The 24,877-nt window shown below is 49.0% G+C and overlaps 1 long non-coding RNA gene across 1 annotated transcript, besides 2 other annotated features; it reads left to right on the top strand.

The window, feature by feature from the left end:
• Positions 6,504–7,026: an enhancer, noted in NCBI's record as "H3K27ac-H3K4me1 hESC enhancer chr1:235245875-235246397 (GRCh37/hg19 assembly coordinates)". NCBI's record gives its function as "activates a minimal SCP1, AML or CMV promoter by ChIP-STARR-seq in primed H9 embryonic stem cells {active_cell/tissue: H9 hESC(primed)}" and the evidence as "EXISTENCE:reporter gene assay evidence [ECO:0000049][PMID:30033119]".
• Positions 14,066–14,315: an enhancer, noted in NCBI's record as "active region_2790". NCBI's record gives its function as "activates an Ori minimal core promoter by ATAC-STARR-seq in GM12878 lymphoblastoid cells {active_cell/tissue: GM12878}" and the evidence as "EXISTENCE:reporter gene assay evidence [ECO:0000049][PMID:35858748]".
• LINC01348 (long intergenic non-protein coding RNA 1348) lies at positions 19,768–24,112 on the top strand. The gene is made up of 4 exons (NR_027454.2): positions 19,768–20,182; positions 21,084–21,290; positions 21,643–21,880; positions 23,973–24,112. It is a non-coding gene; the product is annotated as a long intergenic non-protein coding RNA 1348 (long non-coding RNA).
• The last annotated feature ends 765 nt before the right edge of the window (positions 24,113–24,877 follow it).

The raw sequence follows: 24,877 nt of genomic DNA, 5'->3' as shown, positions 1-24,877 counted from the left end.
CCGGTTTCATTTTTACTAGTTGTTCCCAGACTTTTGGATTCGTAGGCTAGAAAACTGAAAACAACAGGGTAGACATAGGTAATCAAGTGTTATTTTGCCTAGTGAAGACATAAACAAAACCAAACAAAATGATGTCTACAATCACAGGCACTCTCATGTCCTACAACAAAGCAGATTTAAACGCCAGAAAAGTAGGAGGAAGAGAATAAAACCAGAGTGAAAGACAGCGCTTGCCAGGAAAGGACAGATCTCACGCTGACAATTTCACTGCGGAGGGATGGAAACGTGGCCGAAGCCCAGCAGCTGTTAGTGAGCCAGCATTTCATTCATTCATTATTTATTTTTAGAGACAGGGTCTCACTGTGTTGCCCAGGATGGGGTTCAGTGGTGCCATCACAGCTCCACTGCAGCCTCAGACTCCCAGGCTCAAGTGATCCTCGTGCCTCAGCCTCCCGAGTAGCTAGGACTACAGGCATGCGCCACCACACCCAGCTGATTTTTTTTGTTTGTTTGTAGAGATGGGATCTCACTATGGTGACCAGGCTGGTCTTGAACTCCTGGCCTCAGGCAATCCTCCTGTCTTGGCCTCCCAAAGTGCTAGGATTACAGGCATGAGCCACCTCACTCAGCTGAGCTAGCATTTCTGAATCTTGGGTCTATGATGGAAGCGGAAGGCGGCACTCCAGACCCCAGCAGGTCCCAGTGGCCTGCAAGAGCGCTGCATACCTGCAAAAATAGCACCTGTGGCCAAAGCTAATTGGATATGAATCTTAATGAAAACAGCACTTCAGCCAGCATAAGAACTATGCCACTGCGCCTCAAACTTTAACGTGTGCGTAAATTTCCTGTGGAGTCTTGCTAAAATGAAGATTCTGAATCCTTAGGTCTAGACTGGACCCAGGATTCTGCCTTTTCACAGCCTCCCAGGCGAGGCTGGCGTTGCAGCTCCTTGCTCCATGCTCTGAGTTGCAAGGTCTACTCTACACGATGCCAAAAGCAATCTTGTGGTTCAGTCATGTGAGTGAAGAAAAAAGATTAGGTAAAATGATTATTTTGTATCATGCAGACAAAAAAATCATTTTTCAGCTAGATTCTCTGCTATTTCATACACATGGCCAGAGCTGACAGAGATTGCCAGTGGACTACTGGAGATTAAAGGTGGTAATGAGTGAGGACCCTCTTGACCGCTTGTGTCTGTAAGGATGGTGAGTGCTGAACAGCCTCCAGCCTCCAGCTCCAAGCCCAGCACTAGCTTGACCAAAAGTGACCAGGGGTTTAACAGCCGGCTTCCTGAACTCTACTGGTCTACCAGCCACCTGCACCCCTCTCCCACTCCCCCTAACAAACTCAAAACCCAATAAAACAAAAACCAAACGGATGTGTATTGGGAATCAAATGTGGCAGGAAGGGCCCTGGCAGAGGCAGTACTCCGAGGTGAGGAAGCCATGATTGGGTCAGCCTTAAACATTCCTACCATTCTGCCAGTGTCCAGGCTGCTGATGAAATCCTGGGCAGGTGCAATGATGCACAGGTGTCCTGGGGTGAGGTTGCATGTGTGTTAGGTTGGGTTGAAGACTGAGGAACAGAAGGGGCGGGTCAAATGGTTGTGTGAGAGCGTTGGCAGGCTGTGTTGACTGAGACCCGCAGTGAGAGGTAAGTTTTTGTGGTTTACAAATTTTAATTTCAATTTTTTTTGAGATAGGGTCTCTCTTAGTCACCTAGGCTGGAGTGCAATGGGGCAATCACCGCTCACTGCAGCCTTAATCTCCCAGGCTCAAGTGATCCTCCCACCTCAGCCTCCCAAGTAGCTGGGATTATAGGTGCGCAATATCATGCCTGGCTAATTAAAAAATTTCTTTTTGTAGAGACGAGGTCTCATTATGTTGCCCAGGCTGGTCTCAAATCCCTAGGCTCAAGCGATTCTCCTGCCTCAGCCTCCCAAAGTGTTGGGATTCTAGGTGTGAGCCACCACGCCTGGCCGAGGGGGTGTTTGACATCTTCACTCAGCACACACATTTACAGGGTTGATATCCATTTGTACAAAACAATACTTAGTTTTACTGCATGTGACATATTCTAATTAAAAAAAAAAAATTCTAGGCCAGGCCTGATGGCTCACACCTGTAATCCCAGCACTTTGGGAGGCCGAGGCGGGTGGATCACCTGAGGTCAGGAGTTCGAGACCAGCCTGGCCACATGGTGAAACCCTGTCTCTACAAAAATACAAAAATTAGCTGGGCGTGGTTGTAGGCACCTGTGATCCCAGCTACTCGGGAGACTGAGGCAGGAGAATCGCTTGAACCCAGGAGGCGGAGGTTGCATTGAACCAAGATCGCACCACTCCAGCCTGGGTGACAGAGCAAGACTCTGTCTCAAAAAAGAAAAAAAAAAATCTAAAATGCTGGTTCTGATCTATTAAATTGATTTCAGGTCCCACGACTGGGCTGTGACCCAAAGTGTGACAAATGCAAATTTTGGAGGCCTTTTCTCATATTGGTAATATATGAGTCTTTGATCTCTTACTGTGGGAACTCAGGTGACCTCAAATCTAAGAAACCTAATTTACGAAATATACACTTAAAATTATGATTTCTTCAAATTCTACCCTGGAAACGCTTAGTGAAGGGATTTTTGCCATCTATTTCTTTGGTAAATCTCAGAGCATCTAAAAAAAAGATTAAGTGGACAAATGAGTAAATTAGCCTATCTACAAATATGTAAGTCCTTGGATGGAAGTTTTTAGGACAAATAAATTTAAAGAAAAGCATTAGATGTTATTGGTAGGTATAGTCCAAGTAGATATGAATAAGAAAATAGTTTTGAAATTAAAATTTATAGTATTATTGGTAGGTGTAGTCCATGATATTTCTGAAATTTAATTTTATAGCAACAGGAAAACATGAATGATTTACAAACAACTTTTGAATATATCAACAATGGAAGTGATAAAAACATTAATATTTACTGAGTCATTATATGATATGCTGTATTGAACATTTTATTTATTTATTTATTTATTTATTTATTTATTTATTTGGGATAGAGTCTTGCTCTGTTGCCCAGGCTGGAGTGTAGTGGCGCGATCTCGGCTCACTGCAAGCTCCACCTCCCGGGTTCACGCCATTCTCCTGCCTCAGCCTCCCCAGTAGCTGGGACTACAGGCGCCTGCCACCATGCCCGGTTAATTTTTTGTATTTTTAGTAGAGACGGGGTTTCACCGTGTTAGCCAGGATGGTCTCAATCTCCTGACCTCATGATCCGCCTGCCTCGGCCTCCCAAGATGCTGGGATTACAGGTGTAAGCCACCACGCCTGACTGAACATTTTGCTTTTAATTTAAGTTTTTTTTTTTTTTTTTTTGAGACAGGGTCTTACTGTCACCCATTCTAAAGTGCAGTGACCTGATCAAGGCTAACTGCAACCTCAACCTCCCGGGCTCCAGCAATCCTCCCACCTCAGCCTCCCATGTAGCTGGGATTACAGGCGCAGGCCACCATGCCCGGCTAATTTTTGTATTTTTTGGTAGAGACAGGGTTTCACTATGTTGCTCAGGCTGGTCTCGAACTCCTGACCTCAGGTCAACTCTGTGGGCATGGGGGACAGTTCTGAGAGCCATGGGCAGGGCAGATCCCTCCAAAAGTGCCCACAAGACTGCAGAACACTTTGTTCAAATAAAATCTTAACCTAAACGCGAAACATGAAAGAAGAATGAATGAATTGTTCTGGTAAACTGAGATGGGGGCCAAAGTCCATCCAGTTAGCTCCTCCCCTCCCCTGGGGTCTGAGGAGCTGTGGTTTTGAAAACCATGGATCTGGTTGAGCGTGGTGGCTCGTGCCTGCAATCCCAGTGCTTTGGGAGGCTGAGGTGGGTAGATCACCTGAGGTCAGGAGCTCGAGATCAGCCTGGCCAACATGGTGAAACCCCGAATCTACTAAAAATACAAAAAATTAGCCAGGTGTGATGGCAGGTGCCTGTAATCCCAGCTACTCTGGAGGCTGAGGCAGGAGAACCGCTTGAACCTAGGAGGCAGAGGTTGCAGTGAGCCAAGACCACGTCACTGCCCTCCAGCCTTGGTGACAGAGTGAGACTCCATCTCAAAAAAATACAAAAAACAAAAAACAAAAAAAGAAAACCATGGATCTGGCCAGATGCAGTGGCTCACGCCTGTAACCTCAGCACTCTGGGAGGCCAAGGAGGGTGGATCTGAGGTCAGGATTTCAGGACCAGCCTGGCCAATATGGTGAAACCTGTCTCTACTAAAAATACAAAAATTAGCCGGGAATGGCGGCGTGTGCCTGTAGTCCCAGCTACTCGGGAGGCTGAGGCAGGAGAATCACTTGAACCCAGGAGGCAGAAGTTGCAGTGAGAGAGATTACGCCACTGCACTCCAGCCTGGAAGACAGTGAGACTCTGTCTCAAAAAAAAAGAAAACTATGGATCTCGTTCTAAGCCTCTGTTTTTACACCTGATAAACATGAGGCTGAGAGAGTGAGGCTACCTCCTCAGAGGTGCACAGTGACTTAATGTCAGCGCTTGGACCCACCCTAGGGTCCTGGGCTCCTTGTAGAATGTTCTCCCTCCTCCTTGTCCACCTCCTCCTCATTTGCGGTTATCCAGACACACAACTGCTGAGAAAGTCTTTTGTTTCCTTCTTTATTTATTTTGAGGCAGAGTCTCGCTCTGTCACCCAGGCTGGAGTGCAGTGGCGTGATCTCAGCTCACTGCAGCCTCCACCTCCCAAGTTCAAGCCATTCTCCTGCCTCAGTCTCCCCAGTCGCTGGGATTACAGGTGTGCACCACCACCCTGGCTAATTTTTATATTTATTTATTTATTTATTTGAGATGGAGTCTTGCTCTGTCGCCCAGGCTGGAGTGCAGTGGCGTGATCTCAGCTCACTGCAACCTCTGCCTCCTGGGTTCAAGTGATTCTCCTGCCTCAGCCTCCCGAATAGCTGGGACTACAGGTATGCGCCACCAAGCCCAGCTAATTTTTGTATTTTTAGTAGAGACAGGGTTTTACCATATTGGCCAGGCTGGTCTCGAATTCCTGACTGTATGATCCACCCACCTCGGCCTCTCAAAGTGCTGGGATTACAGGCGTGAGCCAGCGTGCCCAGCCTTGTATTTCTTAGGTGAATAGATTTTGATTTGCAGAATTCAAAAAGGAATGCGAGTGAAGTAGGTGAAACAATAAATTTAGCTTGGAGGATCCTATGAGCCTTCCCCCTGGTGTGCTGGTCACAGCTGGTTTTGCCCAGCGCCCTTTTGTCCTCTTTGTCCTCTGCTCTCCTTTGAACATCAATCAACAAGGGCCTGATGGCATTGACAGGCTTGCCCTGGTGACTGACCACGTCTCAGGTTGAAAATGTGCTTTGGCGCCTTTTACAGGACGATGGCATTTGTCCCAGTGTGTTCCAGTGAAGCGCCTCGCAGGACCTTGATAAACTTGACTGTCCGTATCCATCAAGGTGCTTGTGCATTATTCCTACAACTGGGGAGATACCTTACCCACCTCCTTGCAGATCGTTCTAGGGAAAGGTGTTTGGCCATCTGTCTGGGAGGCTGAAGACTGGCCCTTGCCACAGGCAGGGTGCTGAGAGCTGCCCCTCTGCCCAGCCTCGTGCTCCTCTGCTGAGGGGTCAGCTCAGGTTGTCTGGAGGCACTGCCCTGCGCCTGCTCCTCGAGCCGCTTGATGGCACTGTTAGAACTGGAGAAGGGAGGCAGCTTCTCCTGAAACAGTTTCCTCTGTTCTGATCGGCTCCAAACTGTCATTTCCACCCACCTCCTTCCTAACTGAACAGAACAAAATCACTTCACAGCCTGTTGCTGCTGCTCTGCTCCCCCAGCCCCGCCCCGCCATCTGGGCAAAGATTTAGTAGCCCCTGTGCCCTCTTTCCCGCACTCATGCACCCAGGCTTCCATCCTGTCTCTCTAGAGCTTTATCATCCTGTGTGTTTTGGGGGCCTCTGCGGTGCCAGGGGCTTTGCAGGCAGAGAGAAGGCCAGGAAAACCTTATAAGAACCCGGGAATCTAAAAGAGAAAGCAGAAGTGCCTGACATCCTTCTGGCCACATGACTTGTTTTCTAGAAGAAAGAAGAAAATAGCAGTGGGAGAAGGTGCTTGGGAGGAATGGAAGGAATGTGCAGAGAGGGCAGGAAATGGGGTCTCTCGGGCGGAATCTTGGCATTAGGTTGCAAGGCTTAATGTGTTCTGTTCTTGGCTTCCCAGCTGCCACTGTGTCTAAATCCCTCTCGCAGGGTCAAGGGTGGGTGGAGGCGTGGTCTGAAGGGACGCTTGCCTTCTTCTACTTGCTTTAGCCTCTTCTGGTTCTCAGTTCTGTCTCTCTCTCTCTCTGTAGCTCTGTCACCCAGGCTGGAGTGCAGCAGTGCCATCATAACTCATTGCAACCTTAAACTCCTGGGCTTAAGCAGTCCTCCTGCCAGGAGTTTACTACTGGTACATGCCATTACACCCGGCTAATATTTAGTTTTTTCGGAGGGATGGGGTCTCACTAGATTGCCCAGGCTGGTAACTTCTGGGTTGAAGCCAGATCCTCTCACCTCAATCTCCCAAAGTGCTGGGATTACAGGCATGAGCCACCACACCTGGCCTCTCTTTCTTTTTTTTTTGCAGTGGGGGGTGGGGGTGGCTGGTGGGGAGGAGGACAGAGTCTCACTCTGTAACCCAGGCTGGAGTGCAGTGGCACGATCTCGGCTCACTGCAACCTCCGCCTCCCGAGTTCAAGCCATTCTCCTGCCTCAGCCTCCTGAGTAGCTGGGATTACGGACACGTATCACCATGCCCAGCTAATTTTTTTATTTTTAGTAGAGAAGGGGTTTCACCATGTTGGCCAGGCTGGTCTCGAATTCCTGACCTCAGGTGATCCACCTGCCTTGGCCTCCCAAGGTGCTGGGATTACAGGCATGAGCCACTGCGCTTGGCCCTCTCTTTTTTATTTATTTATTTATTTTTGAAACGGAGTCTCACTCTGTTGCCCAGGCTGGAGTGCAGTGGCATGATCTCAGCTCACTGGAACCTCCGCCTTCCGGGTTCAAGTGATTCTCCTGCCTCAGCCTCCTTGTTGTATTTTTAGTAGAGAAGGAGTTCCACCATGTTGTCCAGGCTGGTCTCAAATTCCTGACCTCAGGTGATCCACCTGCCTCGGCCTCCCAAAGTGCTGGGATTTTGGGCGTGAGCCACTGCGCCTGGCCCTCTCTTTTTTTATTTTTATTTTTAAATGGAGTCTTGCTCTGTTGCCCAGGCTGGAGTGCAGTGGCGTGATCTTGGCTCACTGGAACCTCTGCCTCCTGGGTTCAAGTGATTCCCCTGCCTCAGCCTCCTGAGTAGCTGGGACTACAGGCATGCATCATCACGCCCAGCTAATTGTTGTATTTTTAGTAGAGAAGGGGTTTGGTCTTGAATTCCTGATCTCAGGTGATCCACCTGCCTCAGTCTCCCAAAGTGCTGGGATTACAGGCATGAGTTTTTTTTTTTTTTTTTTTTTTGACACAGAGTCTGTCTCTGTCACCCAGGCTGGAGTGCAGTGGTGCTATCTCGGCTCACTGCAACCTCCACCTCCTGGGTTCAAGCAATTCACCTGCCTCAGCCTCCCGAGTAGCTGGGATTACAGGCGTGCGCCACCATGCCCAGCTAATTTTTGTATTTTAGTAGAGATGGGGTTTTACCATGTTGGCCAGGCTGGTCTCCAACTCCTGACCTCAAGCAGTCCATCCACCTTGGCCTCCCAAAGTGCTGGGATTACAGGCATGAGCTACTGCGCCCAGCCCCTTTTTTTTTTTTTTCAAAATTTATTGTGTATACTTAAGGTATACAATGTGATGTTATGAGGTACATGTACATATAGTAAAACAGTTACCAGAGTGGAGCAAATGAACATAGCCGTCATCTCTCATAGGTACGTATTTTTCCCCTGTGGTAAGAGCAGCTACAATCAACTATAATCTACTCATTTAGCAAAGATGTTGGATACAGTACACTGTTAACTAAGTGTGTCTTCATATTGTACATCAGATCTTTCCACTTGTTCATCCTGCATAGTTGCTGCTTTGTGTCCTTCCGCATTCACCTCCCCATTTCCTCTGCCTCACCCCCAATACTGGTAACAACTGTCTTATTCTCCATCTCTGTGTATTTGGCTTTTTTTAAAAAAAAGATTCCACCTGTAAGCAAGGCTGTGCAGTATTTGTCTTTCTGTGTCTGGCTTATTTCACTCAGCATAATACCCTTCCTATCCTCCCTCCATGTTCATTCTTGTTGTGGATCTCCTTTTTTTTTTTTTTTGAGACAGAGACTTGCTCTGTCACCCAGGCTGGAGTGCAATGGCACAATCTTGGGTCACTGCAACCTCTGCCTCCTGGGTTCAAGAGATTCTTGTACCTCAGCCTCCCGAGTAGCTGGGATTATAGGCATGCGCCACCACGCCTGGCTATTTTTTGTATTTTTAGTAGAAATGGGGTTTCACCATGTTGCCCAGGATGGTCTTGAACTCCTGGCCTCAAGCGATCTGCCTGCCTAGACCTCCCAAACTGCTGGGATTGCAGGTGTGAGCCACCACACCCACTCTTCCTTGCTTTCCTTGCCTGCTTGCCTGCCTTCCTCTTCCTTCCTTCCTTCTTTCCTTCCCTTTCTTTCTTTCTTTCTTCTTTCCTTCCTTCCTTCCCTCCCTCCCTCCTTTTTCTTTCTTTTCTTTCTTTCTCTCTCTCTCTCTCTCTCTCCCTCTCCCTCTCCCTCTCTCTCTCTCTCTCTCTCTCTCTCTCTTTCTTTCTTTTTTTCGCTCTTGTTGCCCAGGCTAGAGTACAATGGTGCCATCTCGGCTCACTGCAACTTCCGCCTCCCGGGTTCAAGCGATTCTCCTGCCTCAGCCTTCCTGAGTAGCTGGAATTACAGGCATGCACCACCATGTCTGGCTAATTTTGTATTTTTAGTAGAGACAGGGTTTCTCCATATTGGTCAGGCTGGTCTCGAACTCCCAACCTCAGGTGATCCGCCCACCTCGGCCTCCCAAAGTGCTGGGATTACAGGCATAAGCCACCGCACCCAGCCTCTTTCTTTCTTTCTTTTCTTTCTTTCTTTTTCTTTCTTTCTTTCTTTCTTCTTTCTTTCTCTTTTTCTCTCTCTTTCTTTTCCTGCCTGCCTGCCTCCCTTCCCTTCTCTTTCCTTCCTTTCTCTCTTTCTTCATTCTTTCTTTCCCCATTCCTGTTGAGTGCACACATTTTCTTTACTCATTTGTCCATAATGGACATCTAGGTTGCTTCCCTATCTTGCCTGTTGTGAACACGGGAGTGCAGCTACCTCTCCTAGGTGGTGATTTTCTCTCTTTTGGGTATATAACCAAAAGGAAGATTGCTGGATCATGTGGTAGTTCTATTTTTAATTTATTTAGGTGGTTCCCAGTTCTTGCTGCCACTTCCTTTTCCTTGGAGAGATGAGTAGGAGACAGGCTGAGGATACCCATGAGCTGTTTAAGAAGAGAGCCCCGCTGCCCACAGCTTGCATCCTAAATCTCAGGCCCCACAGCTCTATGCCCTACTTACCTCCCCTGGCTCCCCTTCCTCCAGAGGAAGGAGAAAATGGGAGGGCTTTGCTATGAGAAAAGCATTTTCCCCAAACAATTACCAGGAAATACTGTCTCGATTGCTATTCCTGACATGTGCTGCCCTCTTGGCAGAGTTACTGGAAGGCTTATTACACCTTGCAAATGCTGATGGGGCACAGTTCCCAGAGTTGGAAAGGCTCACCCAGCGCAGGCCGCCAAGGCCTCTTGGTTTCCTCCCACAGGTGCCAGGTGTGTGCTCCACACCCCTCTGTTGGCCAACCTTGACCTTGAGCAGAGGCCCCGGCCAGCTCTCCCAGCCTGCTTGCAGGTGGGAGGCCATTCTCTGCTGACTCAGGCCCAGACTGGGGCAGGTGCATGCCTTCAACCCCGTGAGTAATACCGGCTTCTCATCTTCAAAGGGCCTTCCCAAGATTAACCAATTAGTCACCCCCAGGAGAGCTACAAAGCAGGTTATTATTGTCTTTATTAAGCCCATGGTGGAGGAGGGAAGTAAGTGGAGTCCCTATCCCAGGTCAGTGAGAAAACTGGCAGATGAGTGTGTGGATTTGGGCACAGGAGATGACAGCCACTCGGATTTCTCAGGGTGTTGGGGTGGGGGACGAACCAAAGGCAGGTAAAGTAGAGGCTGGAGCTTCTCACTGGTCGGGGTGGGAGAGACCACAGGGAGTATGTGGGGAAGGACTGAGAGGCTTAGGCTGATGGAAAAGGGCATCTTACTGAAACCAGAGCCAGTGGATGAAGAGACAGTTTGGCCTCAACTGACCCACAGAGGCCTCTGCCCTATGTTCTAAAGGATTCAGAAAACCGCTGATTGTGCTTGAGTCACTCTGCCTCTCTGAGACACCCAGATATTTGTGAAATGAGCCTTGGAACACTTTCCTTTTTGTATCTGTTTGAGGACTTTGATGGACTAAAAATGATCACAACACACGTCATTCAAGCACGTTTCAAATAAAAAGTGTACTATGAAAGCTTAGAAGGGAAGAGGTGGACATTGTTCTGGTTCACTCTGAGCCACAGGTGTGTCTCCTTCAGGTGCACGATGCAGAAAGTTAGAGGGTTTTAAAAGGTAAATCCAAGTCCTGGTGACAGAGTGAGAACCGATGCACCTTCTGGAAGCCAGACAGCAGAGTGAGCCTTCAGTCAGTCCTGTCTGCAGCTGCTTTTTATAAACTTGGCATAAATATGTGCTTGGGAACACCAGGACAGTGTGTCTGGAATATATTTCTACCATTAGAAAACACACACATACATCACACATAACACACATGCACATAACACACATACATACAACACACACATACACGCACACATAGCACACACAAACACAACAAACACAACATGCATGAACACACACAACACACATACACACAACACACACATACACATATGACACACATATGCACATACTCATACACACATAACACACAAGCACACACATAACATACACATACACACATAGCACACACATAACATACATACACACCACACGTAACAGACATGCACATAACGCACACCATACACACACACATAACACACAAACACAACACACACAACACATATGCACACACACAACACACACATACAACACACACAACACACATACTCATACACACATAACACATATGCACACACATAACATATAACATGCAACCATAGCACATACATAACCTACACACACATACACACAACACACACATACACATATAACACACATACACACATACTCATACACATAACACACAAGCACACACATAACATACACATACACGCATAGCACACAACACATTCCTACACACATACACACATACACATATGCACATACACATAACACACACATATACACATGCACACATGCTCAGAAACAACAGAAATCATGCATGGTACTGAGTGGCTTCACTTGTGTTTTTTCCTGTTTTGCTGCCAATTTTAGAAGGCCGTAAGTCATAGTTGTTGTTAAACTTTGTCAGTTAAAATGTAACACTAAGAACAAAGTCATCTGAGCTGCTGTAGTCAGATGGCTTTTAGAGAGAATTCATGGTGGAAGGCGCGCTTTCTCGTGCTCCGTGACAGCTGCTAAGTCGCGTGCCGTGGGTCTCGGGCATTTTCTGGTGTGTGTTACACACGGTGCCCACAGGGTAGTCCTGACTCTTCTGGGCCCTGGGCTCAGCATTTATGCCGCAGCTCCAGAGGGCCGCTTACCAGAGGAAAGGAGATGTGATGAGTCAAACTGTCCCCATGTACTCGGTGTGACCCAGGAACCAAGTGTGGTCTCCTTAGGGGTGATGTGTTACAAGTTCCCCACTTCTGTTTCTCCTAGAAATGACTGCATCCACTTTCTCATAAACCTTGACCCAGCAGAATTCAGAAATTAAGAGGCCCAAAGGGAGTGCCTGGCTTGGTTTGAGGCTGGAACAGCACAACTTCCTCACCCGGACTTGGGAGAATGGAAAAGCCAGGAATGGCAAGCAGCCTTTGTGCCTGGAGACCTCTAAGCTGTACTGTTTGGTTTGCTGTGAGACTGGAAGCCTTTCGAGGGCAGGGCTCTGTGTTTTTCCTGAGGAGTTCTAGTGCTAAGACAAGGCCAGGAACACAATGAGCCAACAGGCCTTTACAAATGCTTGTGCCTTAAAACACATGGAAGACAAGACCCCAGCAGGCCTGCTGGGAGCACAGCCTTCAGTTTGGTGAGGTGGTGGGAGGGTCCTTCCTCTTTCCAGCCCTCCTTTTCTGCCTGCTCTTCCATCTGCTCTTCTTCCTCATCTCATTACCCACTCTAGTGAAGCTTGGGGGCTTTGAGGGGAGCAGGGGGAGCCAGGGTGGGAAAAGGGAGGCTTTCTCAGTGACCAGGTCCCCACACTTTGAGGCTGGGTGTAATCTTTGTGGGGTAAAACTAGAATTTGGACCATTGCTCTGAAAACTAGAGCATTGCTTCCATCTGTGATCTGATCAGGGAATTATGGGCAGGGCTGACAGATCTGATGCCAAGCTCTGCCCTTGCTGTTCGAGCTACTTTCAGGATAAAGCACTGCTGTCTCTGTCTTTGATTCTCCATTTGTCGGAAGGGCACTCGTACCCCATCTGCTGCATGTGGGGGGACACTCCCTATGCATACCGTCCAGTGCCTCGATAGGAAGTGGAAAGGCCTATTCACTGCCCAGGTACCAGGCCCTCCAGGCCCCAGTGTTTTGTGAATTTGGAAGGGTTTGTGGCACTGGTTTTGAAGTGGGTCATGTTATGTTTCTGCTGGCATGCTCGGCGTTGCCATGTTTCTCTTTTTGGGCCTTCTTTCTTCCTTTAGAACAAGAGGGTTTTGTTGTCGTTGTTTTTGTTGTCGTTGTTGTTTTAGATGGAGTCTCGATCTGTTGCCCAGGCTGGAGAGCGGTTGCGTGGTCTCGGCTCACTGCAAACTCCGCCTCTCGGGTTCAAGTGATTCTTCTGCCTCAGCCTCCCAAGTAGCTGGGATTACAGGTGCTCGCCACTGTGCATATATATATATATATATGTATATATTTTTAGTAGAGATGGAGTTTTGCCATGTTGGCCAGGCTGGTCTCGAACTCCTGATCTCAAGTAATCCACCTGCCTCGGCCTCCCAAAGTGCTGGGATTACAGGTGTGAGCCACCATGCCTGGCTTTTTTTTTTTAATCTCTTCAATAAATACATATTTCAAAGCTACTGTGCTCACGGCACTGTGCCCAGTCTGCGTACTTTGGTGAGCAAGACAAGCCCCGTCTTCATGGAGTTTTCATTCTAGTGGGGAGTGACAGACATAGGCCAACTCACCCTGCAAATAACTTTCACTTCCAGTGATGACTCCAGCAATGAAGGAATGGTGCAGATTGCTAAGGTGTCCAGCAGGGAAGCCGACTTAGTCTGTGGGAGTGGGTAGAGGGCCCCTGGGATTGCCACCTCACCTCTCGGGGCCTTACCTGTGAAATAGGCTCACCACCATTTGCTTCATAGGGCGACCACGAGTAACGGGTAAAATAATGCACTTTGACTCATGCTGGCTACCCTCATGATTCCTTCCTAATAAAATCTCCAGTGACTAGTCTCTCATATCTACTGTTTCTCTTCTCTTTTGAATAATGTGATTTCACAATTCAACCTTGCCCGGACAAACAGGAAAACCCATTCCAAATTCCAACCTGGCTTTAGAAACATTTTCTTGGAGGGTGGTGGGAAGTGGGATGGGGGTTTGGGAAGGGATGCTCTCCCAGCTCCTTCCTTGCTGTCTCGTTGCCAACTCCAGTTCCCCGGCTTGTGAAGAGTGCGCGTGGGGGGACACGCTCTGATCCTCATACTCCGGGTGCCGCCCACCTGAGACCGCTCTGTCCTCTGGCCACAGCTTCCCAATACTCTGTCTACAGGGAAATATTTTAAAGACTCAGGAAGTGAACTCATTTAAAAAAATGTCCTCCCCCTACTTTTCCAAAACAGTGCAGCCTTCCTGGAAGAAAGCAAACAAAACAAGTGTGACTGTTTAGAAAACGATTGGAAAACCCATTCTGAACAGTATGAGTTTGCATGGCTCTCCTGGGCGGATGTGTCACCCTCGGCTGGGCTTACTCTGGCGTCTGTGTGGAGAGGAGGCAGGGCTGCCCACGCAGTCTTCTCAGAAGAGGCAGCTGATGGCTGAGTGGGGCCTGGGGACCAGTTCCCCTCAAACAACCGCGGGCACCTCACCCTTGCAGACCTCAAACACACAGACAGACACGGATGTGAGTCCACATATGTGTGTGAGGCTGCGTCCAGCTGAAATTAGTACAATGACCTAATCGCCGCCAAGGCGCGGACAACTGCTCTGCGTGTGGTGACTATTTTGGGTTTCTAGGTGTTCGCATGTGATTTGTGGCATTCGCAGTGTTGTTATTAATAACACCGTTGGCTGTGTGGAGGCTGAGGATGAAGCCTTTTCAATTCAGCCATCTGGTCAGAATGCTTCTCCTTTGATGAGGGAAAAAACCTTTGCTGTGTTTCAACTGGAACGCTGCCTCCCAATTAAGGTGACAGCAGATCGCCGAGTCGCCCTGTCTTTGCAGGAAGAGCCAGCCAGGCTCTAAATGCCACTCTGTCCGGGAGGGAGAACGCCTTTCCTATTGATTGTGGTTTGGTATGCAGTTCAGGCACTGGCTCGAAGGGACGCTGGGCCAGGAAAGCCAGCGTGCAGTGTTTACTGGGTTGGCTGCCTTGGCGCTCAGGTTTTCCATTGTCAGGCAGTGACAGTGCTGCTCAGACGCTCTCAGGAGACGTTCCCCTGCTTTCATAACAACGAAGGGCTTTTTTGTTTTCTGACTCATCTTCAGAAGATCTCCCCCACTTCGTTTGAAAGTAAATATAATTAGTAACAGGCAGACATACTGTATATAGCCAGCCCTGCCTATGCAAGAGAGTTATAATTAAACATGCATGCTGTCTGCTGTTCACTGTCTGCTAAAGGCCTTGCTGAAGTCACCTGCAGGGAGAGGGGTTTATCTTGAAGCAGCAGCCTGGGGTGAATGCTGCAGAGAGAGAGAGAGGCCTGTCCCACCTTTGAGTCGAATGTCCAGTCTGAAGCTTAGATTGAGCTGTTGACTAAAGGGGAGGTGTGTCCATCGGCCCTTGGCCTGCCTTCGCCTGGGTTCTTCTCCATTCTCCACCTTGGGCAGCCCTGGGTGACCCTGTGTGGTCAAGGTTGGGGCTGGCCCCTCTTGGAGACAGAGTGATGGTGGCCAAGTATGGTTGTCATAGTAACGAGGTGGCTGCTGCCACTGCTGTCGGCTCAGGAGGCACCTGCCTGCTTGCAGGTTACGATCTGCCCTCCCGAGGCTGGGGAGCCAAGACTACTTGCCTTTGTTCCCAGCTCCCTGCCTGCGATGCTGGCAGCAAAATCTCAGCCCCGCCCGGCAGGGCAGGAGCTCAGGTATGTTATCCCCAGGTGACCCTCGGCCCTTCTTCTTGGCTAAGGGTAGGCTGGGTGTTTGGAGGCCACTGTCCAGGCCCATAGAGAGCTCAGATTCTGCTGAAACCAGTGGCTCAGGCAGCCCCAGGAACACACACACAGCTTGTGGGAAGATTCTGGGACCACGGCACGGCCAATGGCAGGAACACACACACACCTTGTGGGTAGATTCTGGGACCACGGCACGGCCAACGGGCTTTGTGACACAGGCTTGGAGACACAGGAGAAGCTGCTGTGCCTCCTGCTCCTCCGGGGGGTGCGGCGGTGACCGGATGACTAGTTGGCACAGTCCTTCCTTGGCCTGGATCAAATGCAACAGGCGTCATCTGAGCCCCGGGCACCTTTCCCCAAGTTGCTCAAAGTGTTTTCCGAGCAAATAGTTGTTTCATAACACCCGTGAGAAGTAGGTGGGGTGACAAAGCATTCTTTGTCCCTGTCTTGCAGATGGGGGAATTGAAAAGCTTGCCGGTCCTGGTGGTGAGGCCAAGAAAGGGAGAAGGTGCTCTCCTGCCCAGGGCTCTGGGTGTGGAGCACCGGGGCCAACTCGTGCCCCGTCACCAACTCCTGTGGAAATTGGTGCAGCTCCAGCAGAGAAGGAGGCCAAAAGTGGAAGAGGCCCAGGGCTTCTCCCTTAGCACTGGAGGCCTCAGATGCAATGGCAGGAGCTCGGCCGTGGGCCCCACTGTCTGAGGTGTTGAAACTGGCCATTGGCAACTCGAGAGGTGTTGGTGCTCTCCTGCTCAGCTTGCTTGAAGTTACTGGACTCTTGGAGGGGGTCAACAGATGCTTTTTAAGCACCCTGTTCTGGCCCAGGAATTGTTCCATTCCAGTGGTAAATGAGGGGGATGTGGCCCCGCCTTTATGGTGTTCATAGGAGACATAGGAGACAGTCAATACATAAAATTAAGAAGAAATCATTTCAGAGAGTGACATGCTATAAGGACACTAAAAATGCATAATGGGACAGAGATTGGCTAGAGGGGAGGGTAGGAGAGGAGGAACAACTTTTTTATTTTATTTTATTTTATTTTATTTTATTTTATTTTATTTTATTTTATTTTATTTTATTTTATTTTTGAGATGGAGTCTCACTCTGTTGCCCAGGCTGGAGTGCAGTGGCATGATTTCGGCTCACTGCAACCTCTACCTCCCAGGTTCAGCAATTCTCCTGCCTCAGCCTCTTGAGTAGCTGGGATTATAGGCGCCCACCACCATGCCTGGCTAATGTATTTTTAGTAGAGACGGGGTTTCACCATGTTGCTCAGGCAGGTCTTGGACTCCTCACCTCAGGTGATCCACCCCCCTTGGTCTCCCAAAGTGTTAGGATTACAGGTGTGAACCACTGCTCCTGGCTATTTTATTTTTTGAGACAGGGTCTCACTCTGTCTCCTAGGCTGGAGTGCAGTGGTGTGATCATAGCTCACTGCAGCCTCAGACTCCTGGGCTCAAGTGATCCTCCTGGCTCAACTTCCTGAATAGCTGGGACTACAGGTGTGCACCACCATGCCTGGCTAATTTTTAAAAATATTTTTGTAGAGATGGGGTTTTGCTGTGTTGCCCAAGCTGGGAACTCCTGGGCTCAAAGGATCCTCCCACCTGAGCCTCCCAAAGTGCTGGGATTACAGATATGAACCACTGTGCCTGGCTGAGCAAAAATTTTAGATAGGGAATCAGAGAAGGTGTCTGCACGAGCAGCTCCGCAAAGGGCAGAAGGACCCAGACCAGAGGACCAGCATTCCAGCGGGAGGAAACAACTGCGGAAAAGCCCTGAGAGGGGAATGAGGGTGGCCTGTCCAAAGCTTGGGGGAGGACGCTGCTCTTGGATGGTAGCAAGAGAGGATGTGAGGGTGGTGAGCAGGGGTGTGGTCCTGTAGGGAGGACCTTGTGGGTTGTGGGGCCGTGTGTGATTCTGGATGCTAGGGGAGGTGATACATAATTCAGGATTTCTTGGGAAGATGGTGCCCACTGTTTTTGTTTTTGTTTTTTTAAGACAGAGTCTCACTCTGTCACCCAGGCTGGAGTGCAGTAGCACGATCTCAGCTCACGGCAACCTCCGCCTCTTGGGTTCAAGCGATTCTCCTGCCTCAGCCTCCCGAGTAGCTGGGATTACAGGCATCTGAGTCCACTGTTGAACCCACCTACTGTATCTCATTGCAGGCTCAAATAATAGCCATTAATGCAATGTAGGTTCCAATCCCAAGTCTCCAAGCAATGATTTTGGGGCAGAGGTTGTACTATACATACACCTATAGATATTTCTTGGCATCTTATTACAATGCTTTGCAATGTGGCATGGGGTTTGTTTCTCAGATTTTACACAGGAAGTTTAGTTACTGATATATAGGTTGAGCATTCCAAACCAAAAACCCGAAATCCTCCAGAAATTGAAACTTTTTGAGCATCAGCCTGATGTTCAGAGGAAATGTTCATTGGAGCATTACGGATTTTGGATTTTTGGATTTGGGATGCTCAACTGATAAGCATATTATGCAAATATTCCAAAATCCAAAAAAATGCAAACTCCAAAACACTGTGATTCCCAAGCTGTTTATTATTTTTTGAGATGGAGTCTTGCACCGTTACCCAGGCTGGAGTGCAGTGGTGTGATCTCGACTCACTGCAACCGCCATCTCCTGGGTTCAAGTGATTCTTGTGCCTCAACCACCTGAGTAGCTGGGATTACAGATATGCGCCACTACGCCCGGCTAATTTTTGTATTTTTAGTAGAGACAGGGTTTTGCCCTGTTGCCCAGGCTGGTCTTGAACTCCTGGCCCCAAGTGATCCTCCTGCCTGGGCCTCCCAAATTGCTGGGATTACAGGCATGAGCCACTGTGCCTAGCCCCCTAGGTATTTAAATGAGAAGCATATTCAACCTGTACTAGAAACATTGTGTTATGTCTTTCCATGTCCCAGAAATGGATTCAGGGACATCATTTCTATTCCTCATAGAAATGAGCCATCTTTAGGTGTCTGGGCTTGGTGACTTATGCCTGTGATCCCAGCACTTTGGAAGGTTGAGGCAGGAGGATCCCTTGAGCCCAGCCATTTGAGACCAGCCTGGGCAGCACAGTAAGACCCCATCTCTACAAAAGATAAAATTATATCACTTCTCAGCCTTTTAGCTAAGATCAAGTACAAAAAATAAAATTATTAGCCAGGTGTGGTGGTATGCACCTGCAGTCCCAGCTCCTCAGGAGGCTGAGGTGGGAGGATCACCTGAGCCCAGGAGGTTGAGGCTTCAGTGAACCGTGATTGTGCCACTGCACTCCAGCCTGGGTGACAGAGCAAGACCCTGTCTCAAGAAACAAACAAACAAACAAACAAACAAACAAAAAACTCCTTGGGTAATGACCCAGCGGTCACCCATTGTGACCAGTTTTTCCATGGGACTGAACCACTGTCATTTGTCTGGTGCTTTATAACAGCTTACAAAATACTTCTGCAGCCACTTTCTCATTTGCTTTTCCCCAGTGCTCGTAGCGTTATTGGCGATGTATAGATGCAGAAGCTAAGAGAGGTTAAGTCATTTGCCCAAAGTTACGGAGCAAGGGGAGACCTGGACCTAAGCTCCAGTCCTTGGCCTTTGCTCTCAGACTTTCCCAAGTCCCTGCTGTGGGGCCTTTGGTGGCAGCGGGCCAAGGCAGTTCCGGGCACCTGGGCTGACTGTGTGACTGTGAGTTTGGTAAGCCGAGCCTGGCAGGTGTTTGCAATTCCCTGAGCTGGCTCCTGGGAATGCATTCTGTGCCATGCAGGGCCGTGTTGCAACGTGACTAATGGATGAGAAGGTTGAGGAGGAAAGCCATTACTTCACCAATGTGAATCAAGGTCATTCGTCACCTCGGGAAGCACACGGAGCTGCGACGTTCAGGAGGGAGGCACGCTGCTCCCAAGCCAAACCACGATGCAGCCTGGCACCAGTCCCATGCAGCAGGGAGAAGGGGAGTTTCTGGAAGCGAGGATGAGCTGGGCAGCCAGGCCCAGGGCCCTGGCCGTGCATGCATCAGCCCCTCCTGAGAAAAAGAGCTCAAGGACTACATGGGGTCTTACCCACGAGTGGGGCAACGGTGCAGTTTCCAGGAGGCGTTGGCAGGAGCTGACCGGCCACTGACGCTGGCCGGGGTCCCTAGGGGACAGGGACTGGAGGGTCAGCGGCCTCTGACCATCCAGCGTCATCTGAGGAAATCAGGCCAATCGTGAGCCACCAGAGTGTCCTCACCGAGACGGCCTCTCTCCCTAGTATAACAAGCCACATTTGCTGCCTTTCTGGGAGAGTTAGAAGCAAGCCACGTGGGTGACTTCTTTTCAAAGTTCTCTGCCTCAGAGGAGGAAGCCCCATGGGTGGAGGCCAGGCCCGAGGCCATCCTGCTCTGGGCCAGAGCGTGCCTGTGTCTGATGAGCGAGGACATGCCTCGTCTGGCTGAGCCTTCCATTTCACACCGGCAGCTCGAACCCCCCATCACGGCTTCCTTTTGGGCTCCCCTCCTCAGGGGACCGAGCTTGAAATGTGCTTGCCCTTCATCCCTAAGGCCTGCGTCCCTTCCTCAGAGAGGACTAAGCCCCTCTCCCAGTCTTGATGTTCTCCGAGGCCCTTCTTATTCACAGAACCTATCTGGCTTATTTATTCGCTTGCTTGCTTCTGATGTCTTCTCTTACTGAAAGGTAAGTTATGTGGGAGATGGAATCATGCCAGCTTTGGTTCACCATTACATCCTCCACACTTTTCTATTCTGATTTATTTATTTATTTTAGAGTCAGAGTCTTGCTCTGTCGCTCAGGCTGGAGTGCAGTGGCACAATCATAGCTCACTGCAGCCTCAAACTTCTGGACTTAAGTGATCCTCCTGCTTCAGCCTCCTGAGTAACTAAGACTACAGGTGTGCATCACCATGCTTGGCTAATTTAAAAAAATTGTTTTAATACAACAATTAGCTGGACGTGGTAGTGTGAACCTGCAGTGCCAGCCACTGTGGAGGCTGAGGTGGGAGGATCACTTGAGCCCAGGAGATTGAGTCTGCAATGAGCTGAGATCGTACCACTGCATTCCAGCCTGGCAACAGAGTAAGACCCTGTCTCAATTTTTTTTTTTGTAGACGTGGGGTCTCACTATATTGCCCAGGTTGGTCTTGAACTCCTGGACTCAAGGGATTCCTCTGCCTCAGCCTCTAGTGTCACTGGGATTACAGGTGTGAGCCACTGGACCTCGCTCCCCTGAAAAGTTTTTGTGGAGCCTGGCACCAGGGGAACCCAATATCTATCCTTTGAATGAATGAATAAATGCAAGGAAATAAATGAAGAGGAGGCGGGGGTCAGGAGGGGCATGTTTTATATGAGTAGATACCATGCAAAGGTCCTCCTGGGTGCCATCGCCAGTGCGGGGCAGCCTGCGAGCCCCTTGAGGGAGGTCTCCCTGACACACTGCCCACTCCTCCTGGGGCCGAGCAGGAGTCACATCCAAGGGCTGGGTCATTATCTGATAAATGAGTGGGTTGTGCGGATGAGTAAACAGGGACTGACCCAGAGGTCAGGTGTAACTCAGCCTCAGAAACTGCGTGTGTCAATAGGAATCGAAGGGCCAAGGAATGTGTTTTTCGTTGATGTCAACTTGCTGCAAAGGACCACACCTGCTTCTCGACCCAGGAACGTGGGAAAGGGAAAGGCTTGGCTTGTTTTGGTGGAGATGGAGATGCTGGTAACAGTGGAGGAATGCCCTCCTTCTGATTCACAGTGGGGAGGTGCTCTGGGCCCCTGCCACTGCCCGAGGACTTCAGGTAAGTCAGCCCGTGGCCCCCAGCCCTTCCCTGCCAGACGCCCTGGCAGACGGCTTGTTCTGACAAGTATGCGCTTTCTGGATGGAACAGCCTCCCTTTTGTCCAAACCCTTCCTTTGAATTTAAAATGCACAAAGAACCTTTCGAAGAGGAAAAGAATGGGATCAGGAAGAGGAGGCTGTATCTCATTTGGACACTCAAGCCCTCAGCTCCTGCCCAAGAGTTTCTGGAATTTGCTCCCACATCACGTCATGACTTTTGGCTCCCAGCCAGGTGCGGTGGCATCTGTGGCTTCATCCTTCTGGGAAGTCAGGGTCATGTTCCCTTGAGTCTTCTCCCTTTCCTCTCCCCAGCTTTTGGTTGTCCTGCTGAGAGGATGCGGCATTTGAGCAGTAGCTTCTGGAGCCCAGAGTGAAGCCCCACCCAGGCACCCTGACAGGACCACAGGAATGCTCCTGGCACAGCAAGCAGGACTCTTGAGAAGCTCAGCCTCCACGCTCCTTGTAGATGTTCAGTTCAAACTCCACAGTTTGTGTGACTCACTGAAGGGCTTGGTTTGGCTCTCGCTGACGAGTCTGTCATCGGTGCCAGGTGACACGCTTTTCCCCTCCTCCCGTCTAGTCCTCTCTCTTGCCCCAGGGCTTCTGGTGGGGAAGTTTAACCTCCTCTTCATAAGCAGTGGGAGGGCTACTGTGCTGCCCTCTGGCCCAAGCTCTGGTATTCCCTTTGCAGTGGTGGGTGCTCTCATTCCTTTGCAATGTGCCCTGCAGTGTGAACCCAGGGGATCCATGAGACAGGGAACTCACGTCTGTTTTCTTCATTTGGTGTAGCATGCCATTGGGCGTTTGCCAGACAGGGCCTATCATGTGGGCCCTACACCTATTCACACACCTGCCATTTGCCTTCAGAATCCTGTTCCCAGTGGGTAATGGGTTTAAAAGCCCATAGCTGAGTTTATCCACATTGGATCCGACCCACATTCCAATGCTCTTGTAAGTCTCCAGTTGGTCAAATGAGCAGTTTGATCCCTTGATCCTTCAAAATACTGGATATATTTATTTCTTCTTGCCTTTTGATCTTTCAAGCTTGAAATTTCTCCGCACATAAAAGTCTTCAAAATGCCCTCAAACTTCTGTCTCCAAAGGCAATTTTTTTTCACTTTTTCATTTTTTTGTAGAGATAGTCTCACTATGTTGCCCAGGCTGGTCTTGAACTCCTGGCCTCAAGTGATCCTTCCCCCTTGGCTTCCCAAAGTGCTGGGATTACAGGTGTGAGCCTCTGTGCCCAGCCACCAAAGGCATTTTTACTTGGCTCTGTACAGTGGAGCTGCTTCTCTATTTGGAGGTTGAAGTTTGTGTCAAGTTCTTGAGTTTGTAAGAATAGGACATGAAAGCAGAGAGCCTTTTAATCAGATGAGCAGCTATCTATGTTATGTTTTCACAGATTTTGATTCTTCTTTTTTTGAGATGGAGTCTTGCTCATCCGCCCAGGCTGGAGTGCAGTGGCGCGATCTTGGCTCACTGCAACCTCCGCCCCCCAAGTTCAAGTGATTCTCCTGCCTCAGTCTCCCAAGTAGCTAGCTGGGACTACATGCGCGTGCCACCACACCTGGCTAATTTTTGTATTTTTGTATATATTAGTAGTAGAAACAGGGTAGGCTGGGCGCTGTGGCTCAAGCCTGTAATCCCAGCACTTTGGGAGGCCGAGGTGGGTGGATCACGAGGTCAGGAGATCGAGACCATCCTGGCCAACATGGTGAAACCCCGGCTCTACTAAAAATACAAAAATTAGCTGGACATGGTGGCATATGTCTATAATCCTAGCTACTCAGGAGGCTGAGGCAGGAGAATCACTTGAACCGGGGAGTCAGAGGTTGTAGTGAGCCGGGATTGCGTCACTGCACTCCAGCCTGGCAACAGAGAGAGACTCCATCTAAAAAAAATAAAAAATAAAAGAAAACAGGGTTTCAGGGTTTCACTATGTTGGCCAGGATATTCTCGATCTCGTGACCTCATGATCCGCCCGTCTCAGCCTCCTAAAGTGCTGGGATTATAGGCGTGAGCCACCGCACCTGGTTGATTTTGATTATTCTAAGTAGGGATAGTCGAAATCTTCATAGTGTTTGACATTTCATGTATTTATCAGCTGAAACTGATTGTTTTCATGGTTTTGAGGAATCTCAGTGAAATAATTCAGTGTTGCCAGATCCAGGGAATCTTTTCTCCCCAAGGCATTTGCTGTATAATCAATAAATGTATGTATCATATGGAAAGGTATGATTAGAGTACACTTAGAATTAGTTTATTTCTCTAAAGATGCTTTTACCTTAGCTGGGCATGGTGGTACGCACCTGTAGTCCCAGCTACTTGGGAAGCTGAGGTGGGAGGATTACTTGAGCCTGGGAATTTGAGGCTGCAGTGAGCTATGATCACACCATTGCATTCCAGCCTGGGCCACAGACCCTGTCTCAAAGAAAAAAAAAAGAGATTTTTATTTTTTTATTTTTTTTCTTTTGAGATGGAGTCTAGCTCTGTCACCCAGGCTGGAGTGCAGTGGTGTGATATGGGCTCGCTGCAACTTCTGCCTCCCAAGTTCAAGCGATTCTTCTGCCTCAGCCTCCTGAGTAGCTGGGATTATAGGCATGCACTACCACCCCCTGCTAATTTTTTTGTATTTTTAGTAGACAACCGGGTTTCACCGTGTTAGCCAGGCTGGCCTCAAACTCCTGACCTCAAGTGATCCACCCGCATCGACCTCACAAAGTGCTTGGATTACAGGTGTGAGCTACTGTGCCAGGCCAGAAAAAATAAAATAAAATAAAATAAAGACGAATTTACCTGGTCATTTAAAAAACAACCTAATGAGCTAGGCAATTTTCATTAAGCTTATTTTCATAGGGAGAACAAAACACAGTTCTCAACTTCTTGTCCCCCTTTGTCCCTACTTCCCTGATTCCCTCCTCTCCTACTTGTCTTTCTCTTCTTCTCTCCAGGAGCTGAGAACAGCCCCCTTCCTATTTGAGGCTGGCCTGTCCATGCGCACCCTTGGCCTCACATCAATGGAGGATCACCCATCCCTTCCTCGTGCTAGAAACCCAATGGCTGTATTCCATAAGCCTGCAGGACTCTTGCTCTTCTCCTTATTTAACTACACCAGCTTAGGAGTAGCCTACATGCTCCATCTTCATTTCCTTACCCCATCTACTCCACAGTCTACCATTCTCTTGCTGAGGTTACTTACCTGGCCTCTTTCCTCTACACTCTTTTCCACACTCACTTGTCCAGGTGCACATTAATACCTACACCTGACTATCCTACAGATAACTCGAATTCAAGATGGTGGGGGAATAAACTCACCATCTTACTCTATATGTCTGCCTGTCCTTCAGTATTTCTCATGTGGGATAAGGGTGCTATGATTCACCCACTTGTCCAAGACAGAACACCTCGATGTCATTCTTTTTTTAAATTTTTAATTTTTTTTTGAGACAGAGTTTCGCTGTTATCACCCAGGCTGGAGTGCAATGGCGCGATCTCAGCTCACTGCAACCTCTGCCTCCCCTTTTCAAGCGATTCTCCTGCCTCAGCC

Source organism: Homo sapiens, chromosome 1 (genome assembly GCF_000001405.40).
Source record: "Homo sapiens chromosome 1, GRCh38.p14 Primary Assembly".
Lineage (NCBI taxonomy): Eukaryota > Metazoa > Chordata > Mammalia > Primates > Hominidae > Homo > Homo sapiens.
Note: the sequence above shows the minus strand (reverse complement) of the source record. Positions and strands in the feature narration are given on the sequence as shown.